The following is a 15927-nucleotide window of genomic DNA, read 5'->3' as shown; positions in this document are numbered from 1 at the left end:
TGGAAGGACAAGGAGAGTGTGAGGGAAGTGCTGGCCCAGGTCACAGCACCAGCCTCACGTTCTGCCTGGCTGCGGATGGTGATGCCTGGCTGCAGACATCCCCCCGTAAGACTGCACCAACCTACTTTGCAGGGCTGAGGCGGTGCACGAATGGGGAGCTGGAGCCAGAGAGCACCTGCTGCCGGGGCATTGCCCTCCTCCTACGGCATCGACCTCCTCCTGCACTGTCAGGCAGGGAGGAGAGTGCAGCTCCTGGGACCCTTCCCCTGGGAGCCTGAAGGCAGACCCGAGTCTCATCCTCTGAAGTCAAGAGAGCAGGCCTGGAAGGCAGCAGAGAGGGCTGGGCAGGGAAAGGGGCTGGGGACGGGGCTCGGGGGCAGGAAGGCACAGGAGCAGCAAGCAGGACTGTTGCGGGGGGGTGGCGGGGCAGCAGACTCCCCAGGCAACCAGAGAGAGGGTCCCCTTTGAGTTTGAGATCTAGCAAAGACAGCCCCTGCAACCCAGGCTCCTACCACTGCCCCCAGAGACCACACACACACACACACACACACACAAACACACACACACACACCAGAAGGATGCATCTGGGGCTCTGGAAGAACACTTAGTCCTGGACTTGGCAGCAGCCCAGAGGCCCAGGCACCTCTGAGACACAGAGGCATGGGGCATCCGGGAGGCGGAAACCACAGAGGCCCACACCCCGTTCTTGATCAGCTCTCTCAAGACTCCATCTGTGAAGTGGGGCAGCCATCCCGCAGGGCTCCTGGGGTGACTGAGGTGACACTGAAGCTATCCCCACTCGTGCCCAGGCAGCAGCCAGGCCCAGCATGCTCCAGACCTTCTGCCCAATCGATGATTGAGGCAGGAGGAGTTCCAGGACCCAGCCACAGGAGCCGTCACAGCCGCGGGTGCCCAGGAGCAGATTTCTTGCTCAGGCCACCCAGAGCCCAGACTCAGAACTCAGCCCCCTCGGGCAGCTGTGGGCAGTCTTCTACCCTCCTCTGGGCCTCAGTTTCCCCCACTAGAAGGGCCTTCTGTTTCTGATTGCAGGGTCCAGCCTGGCCAGGTCTCTCCAGGGTCCTTCAGCCTGCAGGCTGGTTGTCAGCCTGCTTAGGATGTCAGCTCTGGCCAGGGTGTGTGGGTGCCTCTGCAGGCCCATCTCCAAGGCTGTGACCCAGCAGAGGGGCCGCAGGAGGGGAAAGGCAAAGGGGTGTGGTGGTGCCGGCTGGGGAGCCCTGGGGTTTTCACACAGGGAGAACAATGGCTGGGAAAGCTGGCCCAGGCCACGCCGCCCCTGCAAGCCTGGGAGCCGCTGGTGCTGGAGAAGCAGCACCCTGGAGACCAAGCTTTGGCATGGAGCTCCATTCACGGGGCAAGCTGCAGAAGTCATTGGGTCTGTGGCTCTCAGCAGGGTCCGGAAACCGGGCCTGGCCTGCTGTGGCCTGACACAGGCCTCCAAGCCCGTCACGGCCGCTGGGAGGTTGGGGTGTGCCTGAGACCCCTCCTGGAGCGCCGTCCCTGGAGTCCGGGGTTCCACCCCCACTCACCGCAGGGCTCCCACGTGCTCACCCAGGCTGAGCCCTGAAACTTCCAGTCTCCACATGACAGAGGCCGGAGCCAGGCAGGTCTGGTGAAGGCCCCGGTGGTCAAGAAATTGGGGGTAGGGGGTGGGGTTGACATGACTCAGGTCTCTGGGTCCTGGCCCAGGCTCCTGTCCCACTGCCAGTGGGTGCAGCGACAGCAGTGGCCCTGGGAGGTCAGCTGCCCCCACACAGTGCTGGCCCCAGGATTCCTTTCTGGAGACCCGGGAACATTTCAGTCTTCAGGATGCCTCCTCCAGGAGTAGTGGTGTTGGGGGGTTTCTCTGAAGCTCATTTGTTGAACATCCCCCTTTCCTCAGCGGTGCCAACTCCTGAGCCGACAGGGAAAGGCTGTGTCCCCACCCGGCCTCCCAGACATCCCGGGCCTCTGCCCTGTCCACAGGCCGTCCAGAGCCTCACACACGGTTTCCCACCCGCTGGAATCAGCTGGGCTTGGACCCAGCACACCCTCAGGTCCACACAGCTTTCCAGGCCCTCGGGAACCACAGCCCCACCCGTCCAAGCCCCTTCCCTGGGGGTTCCCTGTGGGCCCTGAAGATACTCCTGGGAGCCTCCCCTTCCCCATCGTGTGCCCCGGGGCCCATCTGCAGCCCCCATCCATCCAGGGTGTTCCACGTGGAAGGACCAGCTCACAGCCAGGTGTTCACGCCTCATCTCTCCCTGCTCCTGATCGACCTCAGGCCCCACCGGGGACAGTCAGGGGCTGTGGGGCACTGGCCTCCCCGCAAACATGGCCTGGTCGCATGTTTTGATGAGAGGGGGAAACCGGGTAGGGCCTGGAGCTCCAGAAGGCCAAGAACCCATCCTGGGGAGGCAGCAAGGGGCGGGAACCCACCGCAGCCGAAGCGCTGACCGCCCCGCACGTCGGACTTTTCGTCCAGGCCCAAATCTAAAGATGAAATTGGGAGCTTCAAGCTGGCATCCACCATCTGAGACAGGGATTCCCATGTGCTGCCCGGACCTGCCCATGAGGGGGTCCTGCCAGGGCTCTGGGTGGGAGCTGTGTCTGCAGCCCTCACATTGTGAGCTCTCCCCAGATGGAGCCAGTCCCTGAGACCAGCCCCCAACACTCAGAGCCTCCCCATTACTCTCTGGATGCTGCGGCTTTTCTGCCCTCTTGGGCTGCCCTTATACTTTCCGGATCATTCCAGGAAGTGGCTCTACTGAGCAAGCCGGTGTCAGCACACCTGCCCCAGCACACACAGGTGGTGCCCCCTTTCCTGCCGCAGGAGGGAGTAGGGGGCGCTGCCTAATTTCCACCTTCCATAACAACAGTGAAACAGCAGAGCAGCTTGACATTTACAAAAAGGTGCTTGTTAAGAACCGTCCTCCCAACTTAATTAACACTAAAACCCTTTAGGTGTTCCTCCAAGTGCATATAAAACAGCTGTCTTTCCCCTGCGCGGGAAGTAAACTCAGAGAGTGTTTCCATAAAACCAATGGACTGTGACTCCTTGCAAGCAAAACTGTCTTGAAATGTTACGGCCGCGGATGGAGGGGCGGCCAGCTGCCGGAGCAGATGCACCAGCCAGGACCGGAGCCTCCACTGCTGAGGAGCCACCGTGCCGCTGTTCCACACCACCCGGGCCGTTAAATCACACTGTGTTATTTCAAAGCCACGTGCTGAAGCTCTTGGCAGCTTCCTTCCGGGTGGGCGTCCTGGACTGTGCTGTTTGGGGTGGGAGCTTGGGGTCGCTCCACCTGCAGCCTGGGACTCGCCCCTCTCCCTCCCCAACCTTGCCCCTCTGTGTGCACATAGCATGAGGAGGCCGGGTTCTTGAGTGGGATCCATCAGCCTTCAGGCTGGGTGCTGCGGCCACACCATCCAGACACAGGGAATCTAGAATAGCCACCTTGTAGCCACCAGCCTCGAGAACCCAGGCTCTAGAATGTTGGACACACAGACTAGGGGCCAGGGCTCTCCCCAGTGCAATTCGGCTCCCTCATCTGTAAAGCAGGAAAGGTGACCCCCGCCACCAACCCCACAGTTGAAGCAGTGAGGCTGTCCTATATCCCCAGTGTGTGCACCAGGCCTCCCGGGCAGGCAGGACTTGCCAGAACCGACTGCACGCCCACCCATGGCAGCAGCGACTGGCCTGCTGGGCCCGCCTCAGGGCCTCCCTGGAGCCGGCACACTGGGGAGCCAGGCTGGTTCTACTCTCCAGCTCCAAAGGGCCAGCTCCTTCTCTCAGAGTCTCCGAGAGCTACATGGAGCCCCAGTGGCCCCGTATATCGCTGTGCTCATAACTGCCCCAAGAGCTGCAGAGCCCCACAAGGCCATGACAGCAGCCCACCAGCTCTCCCGGAGCCCTCCCTCTGGAGTCGCTTCTTCCCAGGATCCTATTTTATGACCACAAACTCCCAGGAGGGCGGCAGCAGGCACCCAGGGAGATGCATCTGACTTTCTCATCCTCAGGTGCCCAGTCCAGGCCCCAGCAGCCTTTCAGAGTGAGGATGCACCAGTCCCCAGACCAATCCAGCCACGAGGGAGCCAAGACCTGGGACATCGCTGGCCTTGAGGGACGCTTTGGGAGCTGGCCAGGGCCGGGGACAGCCTCGCTCCCTCCTCAACCAGCACCTTCCCCTCACTCAGCATGTGCAGACGCCACCTTGCTGGATACCTGTGGGCCTGATGGACAGACACTGTGTAATGTCATCCCCAAGGCTCTCGCACGAGCACACAGTCGTGTGTGGACCAGAACGCTCTTTGTCGACTGTGGAGCATTGAGCAAAACGGAAGGATCGTCATCGTTGCCTGAGCTCTGCGGTGGCCCTTGACGGTGGCTACCTGTGCCGACCTCTTCCCCGAGCCCCTGGCAAGGGCCTGTGTCCCCTGCACCCTGTCCCCGGTGCCTCACTGGGACAGAGATCCTCCTCATCGGGAACTTGGAATATGTGACCTGAATTAACCACAGCTGGGCCTGGCAAACCTGGGGGTTCGTCTCCGCAGCCCCAAAGCCTCTTATAAAACATAAACGCCTCTCCCGGCTGGGGTGGAGGAGGAACAGGGCGTCAGTGTTGAATGGGAACGGCACTTTGACTGGGAAGATGAAGATGCTCTGCAGGTGGATGGTGGTGACGGCTGCACGAATGCGACTGTGCTGAACGCCGCTGACTACGCCCGAGAGTGGTTACCGTGATACGCTGTACGTTATGTATATTTGACCACAATAAAAGACGCAGATTCATTTTTACAAATCCACGGGACAGGAAAATCAAGAACAAAGGGACCACTGTCGGTGTGAATATTAGAAAGAGTGATGTGCCTTCCACCTGTGACGTAGACGTCGATGCTGGAAAGCAGGAGGATGCCTGTCTGCACAGCCTTTGATGGGGAGAGAGGTCCCTGGGGCCACCTCAAGGTCATCTGTGGCTGTCACCTCCATACCTGCCGTTCGGGGATTTGGGGCACACAAATGCAGGGACCCCCTTCCCCGAGGCCGTGGTGAAGCCAGGTGGGAGCTGCCGACGTGGGCAGCAGGCAGGGCCAAGGCAGGTGGGGGCTTCCTGGTGGGCCTCGCATCCTGGAGGTCAGGGTCAGGCCCTTGGAGAGAGGCTGCTGTCGGAGCCTGCACCAGCCTGGCCAAACCCAGCCCTCAGGTCACACAGCCTCCCTCCAGGGCCCCTTCCCTTCCTCCCTGCCCCTTCTCTCCAGGAAGGCCAGGGCCTGTGGGCCAAGCTTCAGTATCCTAAAGCCTTCAGACACACACCAGGGCTGCACTGGGCTGTTTTCCGGTTTTAAGAACACGCCCTCTTCCTGGGGACCTTGAGTGTTGTCACTGGGAGGCAAGCCACTCTGGGGGTTTCTCCCAGCCGAGGAGCAGCAGGTTTTCCCCCCACATCTCTCTGGGCATCAGCAGAGCAGCTCTGCTCCTTCCCACGGATGGCCACTGGAGGCTGGCCATGTGCTGGCTGAGGGAGTGCTCCCTGGGCAGGCTGGGGATGGCAACAGGGGCCTGCAGTGGAAGAAGCCCGGGGTTCAAATCACCTCCCTTTCTCTGAGCCTCGGTTTTTCCCACATGTCTAACACAAGGTGAGGTTCAGGGAACTTGGGATGTCAGGATCTCTCGGCTGGCACCCGGGGCCCAGCCTCCCTTTCCGTCTGTCCTGGACCCTGCACCCCACTGATGCTCAGTCCACCTGGAACAGGAAGGTCCAGGGCGGAGGGTGCTGAGGACACCCCCACACCGTGCCGGCCACCCTCCACCACACTGCATCCTCAAAGCTGCGGTTTGGGCGCTCAGCATCCTCTGCCCTGAGGGTGCCACTGAGCGCTATGCTGACATCTTCGTCACCAGGTTGCTGTGGGCATTCAGTGAAAAGACGCCAGCCCCTCCCAGCACATGGCCGCTCCCCTCTCCTGGAGCAGGTGTCAGCTGGGAGTCTGGTGTGTGCCTGGGCTACCCCTGGCCACGCAAACCTTGGGGCCAGCATAGTGAGCCAGCGCCGGCCTGTCCAGAGTGTGCATGGCCTCCCATGCGGGTGACCCCAACTGAGAGCCAGCGTCCCCCGTGACAGCCTGGCACGGCCTCGCGCCTGGATGTTGCAAGCCTGGTTGGCACTAATTTATTGCAAATTGTTTGGGAAAAGTCAGTTTAATTAAAATCTAAATGAGGCTCCCAGGAGGGCCCCCGCCCCCAGCCCCAGCCGACGTAATGAGGAGAGGCGGGCATCTCACCAATTCCGGAGGCTTTCATGTTTTTGTCATCCCAAAGCCCCAAGATAATAAAATTTATTCATAGAATTCACACTTCAGTGGTGTGAATAAACGGTGGGCCGGCCACACAGAGAGTCACACAGAATCCCAAACCAGAGCCGGTGGCGGTTCAGGGGACCATTTTCTTCCCATCATAAATCAGAGCGCGGCGAAGTTGCCGATGGAGTCGCCGACGGGGCGAGGGCCGCCCCGAGCAATCAACCGGTCCGCGGCTGTCCTGTAGTGACCTTCGCCAGCGATTTTTCATCCATCTTGGCTTGTTTTGGGGCAGACGCTGCGGGGCCATGAAGCATAAGGGGCCCTCCAAGCACCCCAGCCCCTGCCGGGGCCAGAGGAAGCCATTGTGTGTGCTTCCTGAGCCAGGGACCTTGCTGTGTGCCCCGGGCAGGCCCTCTCCTCTCTGGAGCCTCCGATTTCCCAGCCGCCGTAGGAAATGCCAGAGCTGGCTGGTTCTGCACGCCCATCTCACTCAGTCTGCCTCTTCTGGAAGATGGAGCCACACACACCCAGCCGCTCAGGGAGGAACAGGCAGGCTGTGTTCCCCCTATGCCCACTTTTCCTCCGCCCAGAGCTGATGGGTGTGACCCAGGGAGGGGCTGTGTATGGCTCAGAAATGAACCTCTCCACAACCAGGCAGTAAGGGTGTAGCCTTGGGAAGGGCGGGAGGCATGGCCCCTGGGAGAAGGCGGGCACCTCAGCCCCCATGTCTGAGGGCGAGTGTCTAGGAGGAGGCCCCGTCAGGCAGGACACCACCCAGCGGCTTGGCTTGAGTCCGTCCTCAGGCTCGGCCTGAACCTGTCTGCATACAGGATGCAGGTCAATGGGCCTGCCCTGGAGCTGGATGGCCCTTGCGTGGACAGGTCATAGAACAGTACTTGGGCCCAGCAGGGGCTTACTAGCTGTTCCTGTGTTGGGAGCTGCACCTCTCCCCAGGCCAGGAGCTCCCAGGCAGTGCCAGGCCTGATGCGCCTCCATGTCGGCCATCCCCATGTGGCGTCTGCTGCAGGCACCGTCACCAGTGGAGGCAGACATGTGGACGGATGGACAGGTAAGTGGGCAGATGGACAGACGTGAGGGCAGGTGGGTGCCCAGATAGTGCAGATGCCACAGGCTGAGGGAATCTCACCAAAGCCGAGGGGCTGGGCCTTCCCACTTGGCGCTCAAGCTCAAGCAGGTGGAAAAACTGTATCCACTGAAGAGAAGGAAGCTTCGCTCCTAAAATCCCATCGCCAGGTTCCTGGCTGCCATCTGGCTCTGCAGACAGCACTGGAACAAGTTGTCATTTCCAAGCACGCTGGAGCGTATCTCCTTCACCTCCTGTGTTTCCAGCCAAGAGGAAAACCCCAGTGCCGTCCAGCCCATGCGGGCTCCCTCGACCAGGGGCTCCCTCCCACCCACACCTTCCTGCCCTGGTCCCCAGGGGCCTTCCCCAAGTGCCTGCTCCACTGGTCACCCTCACCGTGGCTGCTGTTAAACACACTTGGGTGCTTTTATCAGGGCCCTCTCTAGTGTTATGATAAATAATTGAAACTAAACCACAAGTGTCAAAATAAATGAACCTCTTGCAAAGGGGATGAATCTCCCCAGCTTTATATCCTTCTCCTGAGACGCCATAAAATGGGGACATAAAGTGAGGACCAGGCCTGGCTCCCAGCCTGCCACGGACAGCTGTCCGGGAGGCAGCAGAGAGGGACCTCAGGGGCACAGGGCGCTTCTGCTTCCCCTTCCTCCTCTGGAAAATGGGATGTTCACATCTGCCGCACCTCAAAGACCCAGGCTTGCCCCTGCCCACCTGCCCGGCTCTACATCTGTCTGTCAGTGGCAAGCCCGCCCCATCCGATCTCCCATCGGAGCCCGGGGCCTGGACTCACCACCACCCGACCCTGCTGGGCTGCGAGGGGGCGGCCTGGCACTTTGGCGCAGCCCCCACGCCCTGGCCATGCTGCCCAGGAATGCCGTTGTGTTTGTCCAGGCCAATGGCCCAGCAAGTAGCTTCTTCCAAATGTGATTCATCTGGACTTCCCAGCAAGACTGGTGAAGAGGGAGATGGCTCAGAGGCCGCGCCACAGGGTGTGCCCACATGGGACCATTCTCTCCGTCTGCTTAGACCACTGCGGGCAGAAGGGCCCAGGCCCGGCTCCACCAGGCGCACACGGAGGACACACCTGGGCCCCTGGTGGTTGCGCCCGCAAGTGACAGGCCGTGCAGCCTGGGCGCATATCATTACATATTGATTTACATTTACAGCCGGCTCCAGGTGCTCCCTCCCACTTAAGCACACTAGCAGATTTCTTATGCAAGATTGAACAACTTAACGGCCTGAACAAGTCGGATGACAAGACTTTAATTGCTATTTTTCTCCCTCTATCCCTCAGGAGAGCAATATGCAGACATTTAGAGAAGGATTTCATAAAACAGAAAGAAAGCAATTCTCAAAGTTCCATGCAAATTTGCTTTCCAAGCTCCTCACCAGGAGCCAGCGGTGCCTCTGGACAGCAGAGTCATGCGTCCTTGTTCAGCCGTCCTCAGAGCCCTTCCAGTGCCATCACTGGGGGGACAGAGAGAGGAGGCCCGCCTGGCCCACGGGACCTCCGGGAGCCTGACAGGAGGCCCAGAGAGGGGTCTCTGGGGTGATCAATGTCAGATTCCTGTCCTGGGGATCAAAAGGGCCATCTCCAACAAGCTGGAGCAGTTCCCCTCACGTGGCCCTGGCTTTCTGTTTCCAGCTCTATTTCAAACTACACCTATACTCATTCATTCATTCACACCCTCACTCGTTCATGCACGCATGCATTGAGCGTCCTCTGAGTGACTGGTGTTCTAAGCCCGTGCTGGCACAGCGCCTGGCTGGCGAGTGGACCAACAGGGAATGAATATGCACTAAAGGGCCCCTGCTGGGGCTCATCTTTAGGTGGGGTCAGGAGGCACGGGGACCATAAGCTAGGCTGACGGTGGGTGGGGTCCCCACGAGCCGCCAGAACATCACCGTGGGCGGCACAGACTCATTGGTGCCTGTTAGCCGGGGAGCGTCTGATCAATACTGTCGATACTTGACTGCGGTGAGGACGACCCAGTGCCTCTCTGCGAAAGCACGTTTTGTCTGGAAAATGCATAAATTCTCGTGTGGGGGATGGGTAGGGGAGGGAGAATAACAGTGATCATAATTTGTTAGCCAAGGATTCCCACCTCGCCCTCAGTGTGAGGCGTGATAAACAGCTCCTTAAGAACTCAGGAAATATATTCAGGAGACCAAATGGAAATCAATCTTCTCTTTTCTGTAACCTCCATCTCCCAGTAATTCTGAGGAACCAACTCCACCGAGTCCGTTGTTCATTCACAACGTGTTCAAAGGACTCTTTAAGGTTAGAATTTTCCTTTTAAGAAATTGCTCAGGGCGGCGAGTTTCCTGGCAGAGCCGCCCAGCTGATACCTCTCATTAGCCGCCTCCTGTGCCTGGGCTTGAGGCCCTCCCAGCTGAGAGCTGGGATGACGCTGATCTTTGTCCTAAATGGGAGAGGACAGGACGAAGGAGGAGAGTGGCTGGAGAGTGAGGGTGAAGACCAGCTCAGGGAGGGGGCTGTGAGGAGGCGTTGCTGGAGGAAATCAGGCCGAGGACCATCCTGGGGGCTGGGCCGGCTCCCCAGGGTCACGAGAAATCCTTGCTAACCTGGCTTTCCCAGCTGTGCACAGGGCACTGATCTCTGGGATTGAGGTGATTGCACAAATGGGGACACTGAGTCTGGAAAGAGCAGGGGACAGAGTGACTACAACTGGGCCTTCTGTCCCCAAGTCCAGCAATCTTAGCATCCCCAGCACCACCACCCACCCCCTCTGCCTACCTGCCAGGCCTGGGCTGGGCTGACTCCATTCATTTGAGCATGTACATGTTTGCTTTGCCAGTGTACCCCACACCTGCCATGTGCCTAGCCTGGAGCTGGCCCTGGATGTGTCAGCTGAGGACATGAGCGCCCACTTGTCTAAAAAGAATTGGGAGAAAGCAGGCTTAGACTTCAGGGGACTCTCAGCTCACACATGCACACACATGCACACACACAAACGTGCACACACGCACATTTGTGCACATTGACACAGACTGTGGGCACATGCACTCACAAAACTATGCACATTTGCGTGTACACAGCATACTCAGATGCACACACAGGCGTAGGCATGCTCCCCTTCACACATGTGCACATTCACACACACATGCAGACACCCACATGCTGGGGGCAGAATGAGTCAGGCCAGATTAAAGACGATAACAAAGGCCCGTTAGTGAAGGTGGCGACGTCCAGGGAAGAGCTACAGAGGCGCAATCTCTGGGGCCAAGGCTTCATGGGGGCTTTTTGCAGGCCTGGCTCCTGCCTGGGTGGATGCCTGGAGAGGGCCCTGCCTAGCACTCCGGGCGGCATTGAGGGTGGTGCTTGCAGGAAGGCCAGGCTGGAGGGGTGGTTCGAGCAGCTGGTCCCAGCCGAAGCTGAAGCCGGGCACGCAGCCAGGGAGCACCCCCAGCCCAGCCTCACTCCTCCCTGCGATCCCTTGGAAACGCTCCGACATCCGGAATGAGAGGGGAGTGCGAGGGTCTGCAGGGGGAGGGTGGGCTGCAGATGAAAGGCCTTTGAGGACGGGGCAGGCAGTGGGGAAGGATCTCACGCTCAGCAAAGGAAATATTGAAATTAAATCATTTCCCAAGGTTGGGGGAACTTTCTGTCCTAATTAAATAGCCAGGGCTCTCACGGCTGCCGACAGAGAGACAAGGGGAGGGGAGCAGATGCTGCCCTTGGAAGGGGGGATTAGCGGGCTGCTCCCCTTTGACGCCCGCCCCAGGCTCCCGGCAGCGGCGGGAGGCAGTCATCACGCTCTAATTAGGGCCGCACCTCCAGTCCTTAGGCACACATCCATATTCACATGCTGGGGCAGGGAGGCCTTTTCAGGGACCAAACGGCTGCGAGGCCCGGTGCAGGTGGGGGCTGGGGAGGAGAGGGGAGCTCCCCCATGTGCCCCCCCCACTCCTGGGCCACCAGCTCCCCTTTGCACTGTCACTGTCCTCCCTCACACCCTCTCTGCTGGGGGAAGGCTCTGCTCTGGGGGCGCTGAGCCAGGAGGGAGGCTGCAGAGCCAAGTCCGATTCAGAGACCTAGAACTGTACACCCCCATCCAACACTGACGGGGTCTGTGCCTGGGCTGGGCACCACTGGTGGGAGGGGGATTCCTACACCCCTCATGCCCCCACCAACCTTGGCTCCTCGGCCACCTCAGGCTATGGCGAGCCATCCCATTCCACCTCTTCTAGCAAGCAGGGCCCTCGAGACAGTCAGACCCAGACTGCAGAAGTCAGGGGAAGCAGAAAGATGGAGTTTCCAGACCCAGTGTGAGCATGTAGGGGAGGGAAGGTGGTTATACACACGTTCTAAAAGAGCCTCCGGTCACAGTGGGTCGTGGCTACCAAAAGAAGCAGAGGCTCAGGGAGCAGGGAAGCCCCTCTTGCTGGCCACGGATGCCAGAGCCCTGACCCCAGACACAGGGCAGTCCTCGGCCACAACCTGGGCCCCCAGGATCTGCAAACCCATCCTAAGAGCAGGACCATAGCTGGGGACACGGGGAGGTGGCAGAGAGCAATTCTCAGTACCACGGAGGAGACAGAGGCTCAGACTCAGAACCATGGCTGCCCGGCACCTGCTCTGCTCAGCTCCTTCGTCTGCATGGGCTCCAAGAGCCAGAGAACCCTAGAGCTGCAAACAGGCCATATCCGGGCTCTCAGCGCTGGAGCTGCCTCAGGGCCCGCGCAGCCCATCATCGGTTCCCTATAATTTACACAGAAGCCCAGAGGGGAGGACATTGGCTTAAGGTGGCACAGCTGGGTGGTAATGCTGGCACTGATGCCCGGACCCAGCTCCACGCTGGAAGCCCAAACCCCAGAGTCCCTTGCCCCACACCCCACAGCCGGCCTCTGGTGTGACCAGCCTGTCTCCAGGTTCTCTACCAACCTGCCATGGACATGCGTGTTCCAAGGTTTGCCTGGGGCCCGGCCTCTTGCTTTTCCCTCCACCTTGAAGACCTATGAGAAGCACACGGGCTCCGAACTGGGCATTGGAAAGAGCCCTGGGGCACCGGCCCTGTGATGCCGGAGGTAAGCCAGGGGAGAATTAGTGCAGATTCTTCCCCTTGTTAAACCTGCTGGGTACTTTTCACTCAACCACCATGGTCTCTCCGTCCTGGGAACCAAAGCGCCAGGTTTCCATCTGGCAGCACGTCCCTATTTCCCATCCATTGGGAGAACCTGCCTCAACACTGCTTGTGGTGCGTATTCATTGGTGAAGAATTCTTTTGGTTTACTTTTTTTTTTGAGGCAGTCTTGATCTGTTGCCCAGGCTGGAGTGCAGTGGTGGGATCTCAGCTCCTGCATCCTCTGCCTCTTGGGCTCAATCAATCCTCCCACCTCAGCCTCCTGAGAAGCTGGGACTACAGGCATGTGCCACCATGCCCAGCTAATTTTCGTAGAGATGGGGTTTTGCCATGTTGGTCAGGCTTGTCAAAAACTCCTGAGCTGTTTATTTTTATCTGAACATTTCTTCCTTTCACCTTCACTCTTTAAGAATGGTTTTTACTATTATAGGGCTCCCCTCCAACCCCACAGCACAGGTTGGTGTTATAAAACTATTTCCCACTGTCTTCTGACCGCCTCTCCTTCTCACAAGAAGTCAGCATCCCCTGGAACCTTGTCCCCACTGTGTACTGTGTCATTTTTCATGGCTGTTCCCAGCATTCTTTCTTTGTCCATGTTTTACATCTGTTTCACTCTAATGGCCTTTGGCATGGTTTCCGCTGTATTTATATTGACTTGGGTTTTCCACACTTTAAAAATCTGTAAACTGGTGTCTTTCAACAAATTCAGGTAATTTTTAGCCATGATTTCTAAAATTTAAAAAAAAAAGTCCCTATTTTATCCTGTCTCCTCCTCTAACACTTCAAGATCACATATGCCAGGCTTCCATGATTATTCCATAAGTCCCTAAAACACTCTTAACATTTTTTTCTTCTTTCTCTCTCTTCTTCAAATTGGATCATTTCTGTTGATTTGTCTTCAAGTTCACTAACTTCTTTTCTTTGTCATTTTCATGCTACTGCTGAGCCCAGTGAAGTTCCTATTTCAGATTTACATTTTCAGTTCTAGAATTTTCACCTGGCTTTTTCTTATAGCTTCTATTTTTCTACAGCAATGCGCAATCTATTCAGTAATTGTTAGCATACTTTCTTTTATGTCATTGGGCATTGTAGAAATAGCAGCTTCAAAATGCTTGTCTGTTTAGCTCGACATCTTGGTCATTTTGGGATTAGTCTCCATGGATGGTTTCAGTTTGAGAATGGTTCCTATTTGCCTCTTTCCTCATATGTTGAGTTACTTTGGATTGGATATTGGACTTTGTAAACAGGTGTTATAATGCCTCTGGATTGAAGAGTACCCGTTTTCACTGTTTTAACAGGTAATTAACTGGTTTGATTCGAACTGAAAAGTCCTCCCTTTGGATGGCAGCTCAAATCTGCCCTGAGTCCTGAGCCTTGGCAGGGCTCCTTGGGCTCTGCCCTGGTCCTGGGTTGTAGCTTATGCACAGGGCTTGGGGTCTGCCTCCTTTTGGCTTTTTCCTTTCTGCAAGTGATTCTTTTTGCCTTTCTGTGGCTGAGACTGCCTTAAACTTTGTTCTCTGTCTTCAAGCCAGGGAGGCTGCATATTTCCTACTGGACTGGAGGCTATCTCTGTGACCTGCATGGTGTAGACACAGGGCTGCCCTTGGCTAGAAGCTGTTAAAATGGGGACCTTACTCAGTTCCAATCCCTTCTTCTAAGAGCTGACATCCTTCCAGAATCTGCCTGCTTTCTCCGAGGTCTTCCCCAGTGCCGTCAGCCATTTTCACATCTCATGTTCAGTGTTGACGGCTGCTATCTTTGGAAGGGTTGCTCTACAGGGAGGCATGTGCTGCTGCCAGGATCAGAACTTCAAGACTGGTTTTTCATCATCTGTGTTAGGGATGGGCCAGTGTAGCCTCTACTCTGGGGCTGGTTTATCTTCCTGCTAAGTCGTGGCCCTCTGAATTCTCAGCTGAATGTCTCAAGTGTTGCTATAAACTAAACTGTGTCCCCCAAATTCATATGTTGAAGCCCTAACCCCCAATGTGACTGTTCATAGAGACAGGGCCTATAGGTTTAAATGAAGTCCCAAGGGTGGGGCCCTAATCTGATGGGACTGTGGCCTTATAAGAAGGGAAAGAGATCTTTCTCCCCATCATGCCCCTGCTGTGTGAGGACACAGTGAGAAGGTGGCCAGTTGCGAGCCAGGAAGACAGCCTTCACCAGAATCCAACCCAGCTGGCACTTTGATCTTGGATTTCCCATCCTCCAGAACAGAGAGGAAACACATTTTTTTATTGTGTAAGCCACCCAGTCTGGTATTTTGTTATGGCAGCCTGAGCAATGTAATACAGATGTTTTAAAGGGTGTTTCTCTCTCTGGCTGGCCAGAGCTTAAATGTCTCCCAGCTCTGTCCATTCTGGAAATGCTTAGCTTTTCCTTTCCTCTGTCTGTTGCCTGGCCTTGCAGAGTTTTACCCCATGCAACCACAGGTTAGCATTAGAACAGGCTCGAGGGAGCCCTGTGCAGATACCCCAGCCATTCCATCACACAGCCCTGCTCCTTGGTGCTCTTCCCCACAAATCCTGGCCACTTCCCTGAACCTGAGTTTGTATCTTCTCAACTCAGCAAATCTACTGCACTCCACTGGGGGCCCCTGGTCCTGTGGTGCATTCTGGGCAGAGCCCCTGAGCGGGAAATGGGACACTCATAGGGCTGGCCTCATCAGCCTCCCTCTTCTCAGGGACCTCAGTCCTGCACTGCCTGCTGTCCGCTATCCAAAAACATCACTCTGTATCTTTTCTTCAGTTCTGTAGTTGTTTGTGACATGACGGAAAGTCTGTGCTAGTTCACATGTCCCAGTCAAAACAGCTCTCCTCGGTCCCTAACAGAACTTCAGATTAAAGTGTCAGGCACACACACAAAAATGCACAGACCAGAGGGATGAAGGGTTTTCACAAAAGAGTGAAATTTCACATTCCTCACCCTAAAGCTGCCTGTACCGCAACCTCGGAGGCATCCACTGTTTTCACATCCTACACTGCAGACCAGTTTTCTCCCACTTTTGACTTTAGTCAGATGGAATTGTACAGTAGGGGCTTCCCCAGGTCTGGTTTCTTTCACTCCACGTTGAGCTGTGAGCATCAATCATCCTGTTCATACAGCAAGGGTTTGTTCATGTTCAAAAGCCTGAAACACTTTCCTTATCTCTGCTGAGTTTCAACCCAGCCCTAAGCACACAGCAAATCCCACCACCTCTAGGAAGCCCTGCTGGCCTTCACCGGCCAGTCAGCAGTGATCCTCCCTTCCTCTCTTTCTGCATGGCCCTCTTTCCTCCCCTGAAAGCTCACTGCTCTGGGTCTCGGGTACCCAGACTATTGCTGGTGATGATGTCATGAGAGGCAGTTGCTAGGCAACTGGCTCCACGGAGTCAGGGGCGCCTGCTCTTGGATTTGAAGTGCCCCTGCCAATTTCTTAAAATAT

At 57.0% G+C, this 15927-nt stretch overlaps 2 annotated features.

Annotated features, from left to right (window-relative positions):
• Positions 733 to 1002: an enhancer, noted in NCBI's record as "active region_9114". NCBI's record gives its function as "activates an Ori minimal core promoter by ATAC-STARR-seq in GM12878 lymphoblastoid cells {active_cell/tissue: GM12878}" and the evidence as "EXISTENCE:reporter gene assay evidence [ECO:0000049][PMID:35858748]".
• Positions 7291 to 7792: an enhancer, noted in NCBI's record as "H3K4me1 hESC enhancer chr14:104853417-104853918 (GRCh37/hg19 assembly coordinates)". NCBI's record gives its function as "activates a minimal SCP1, AML or CMV promoter by ChIP-STARR-seq in primed H9 embryonic stem cells {active_cell/tissue: H9 hESC(primed)}" and the evidence as "EXISTENCE:reporter gene assay evidence [ECO:0000049][PMID:30033119]".

Source organism: Homo sapiens, chromosome 14, assembly GCF_000001405.40.
Source record: "Homo sapiens chromosome 14, GRCh38.p14 Primary Assembly".
NCBI classification, from domain to species: Eukaryota; Metazoa; Chordata; class Mammalia; order Primates; family Hominidae; genus Homo; species Homo sapiens.
This window is presented reverse-complemented; position numbering and strand designations above follow the sequence as displayed.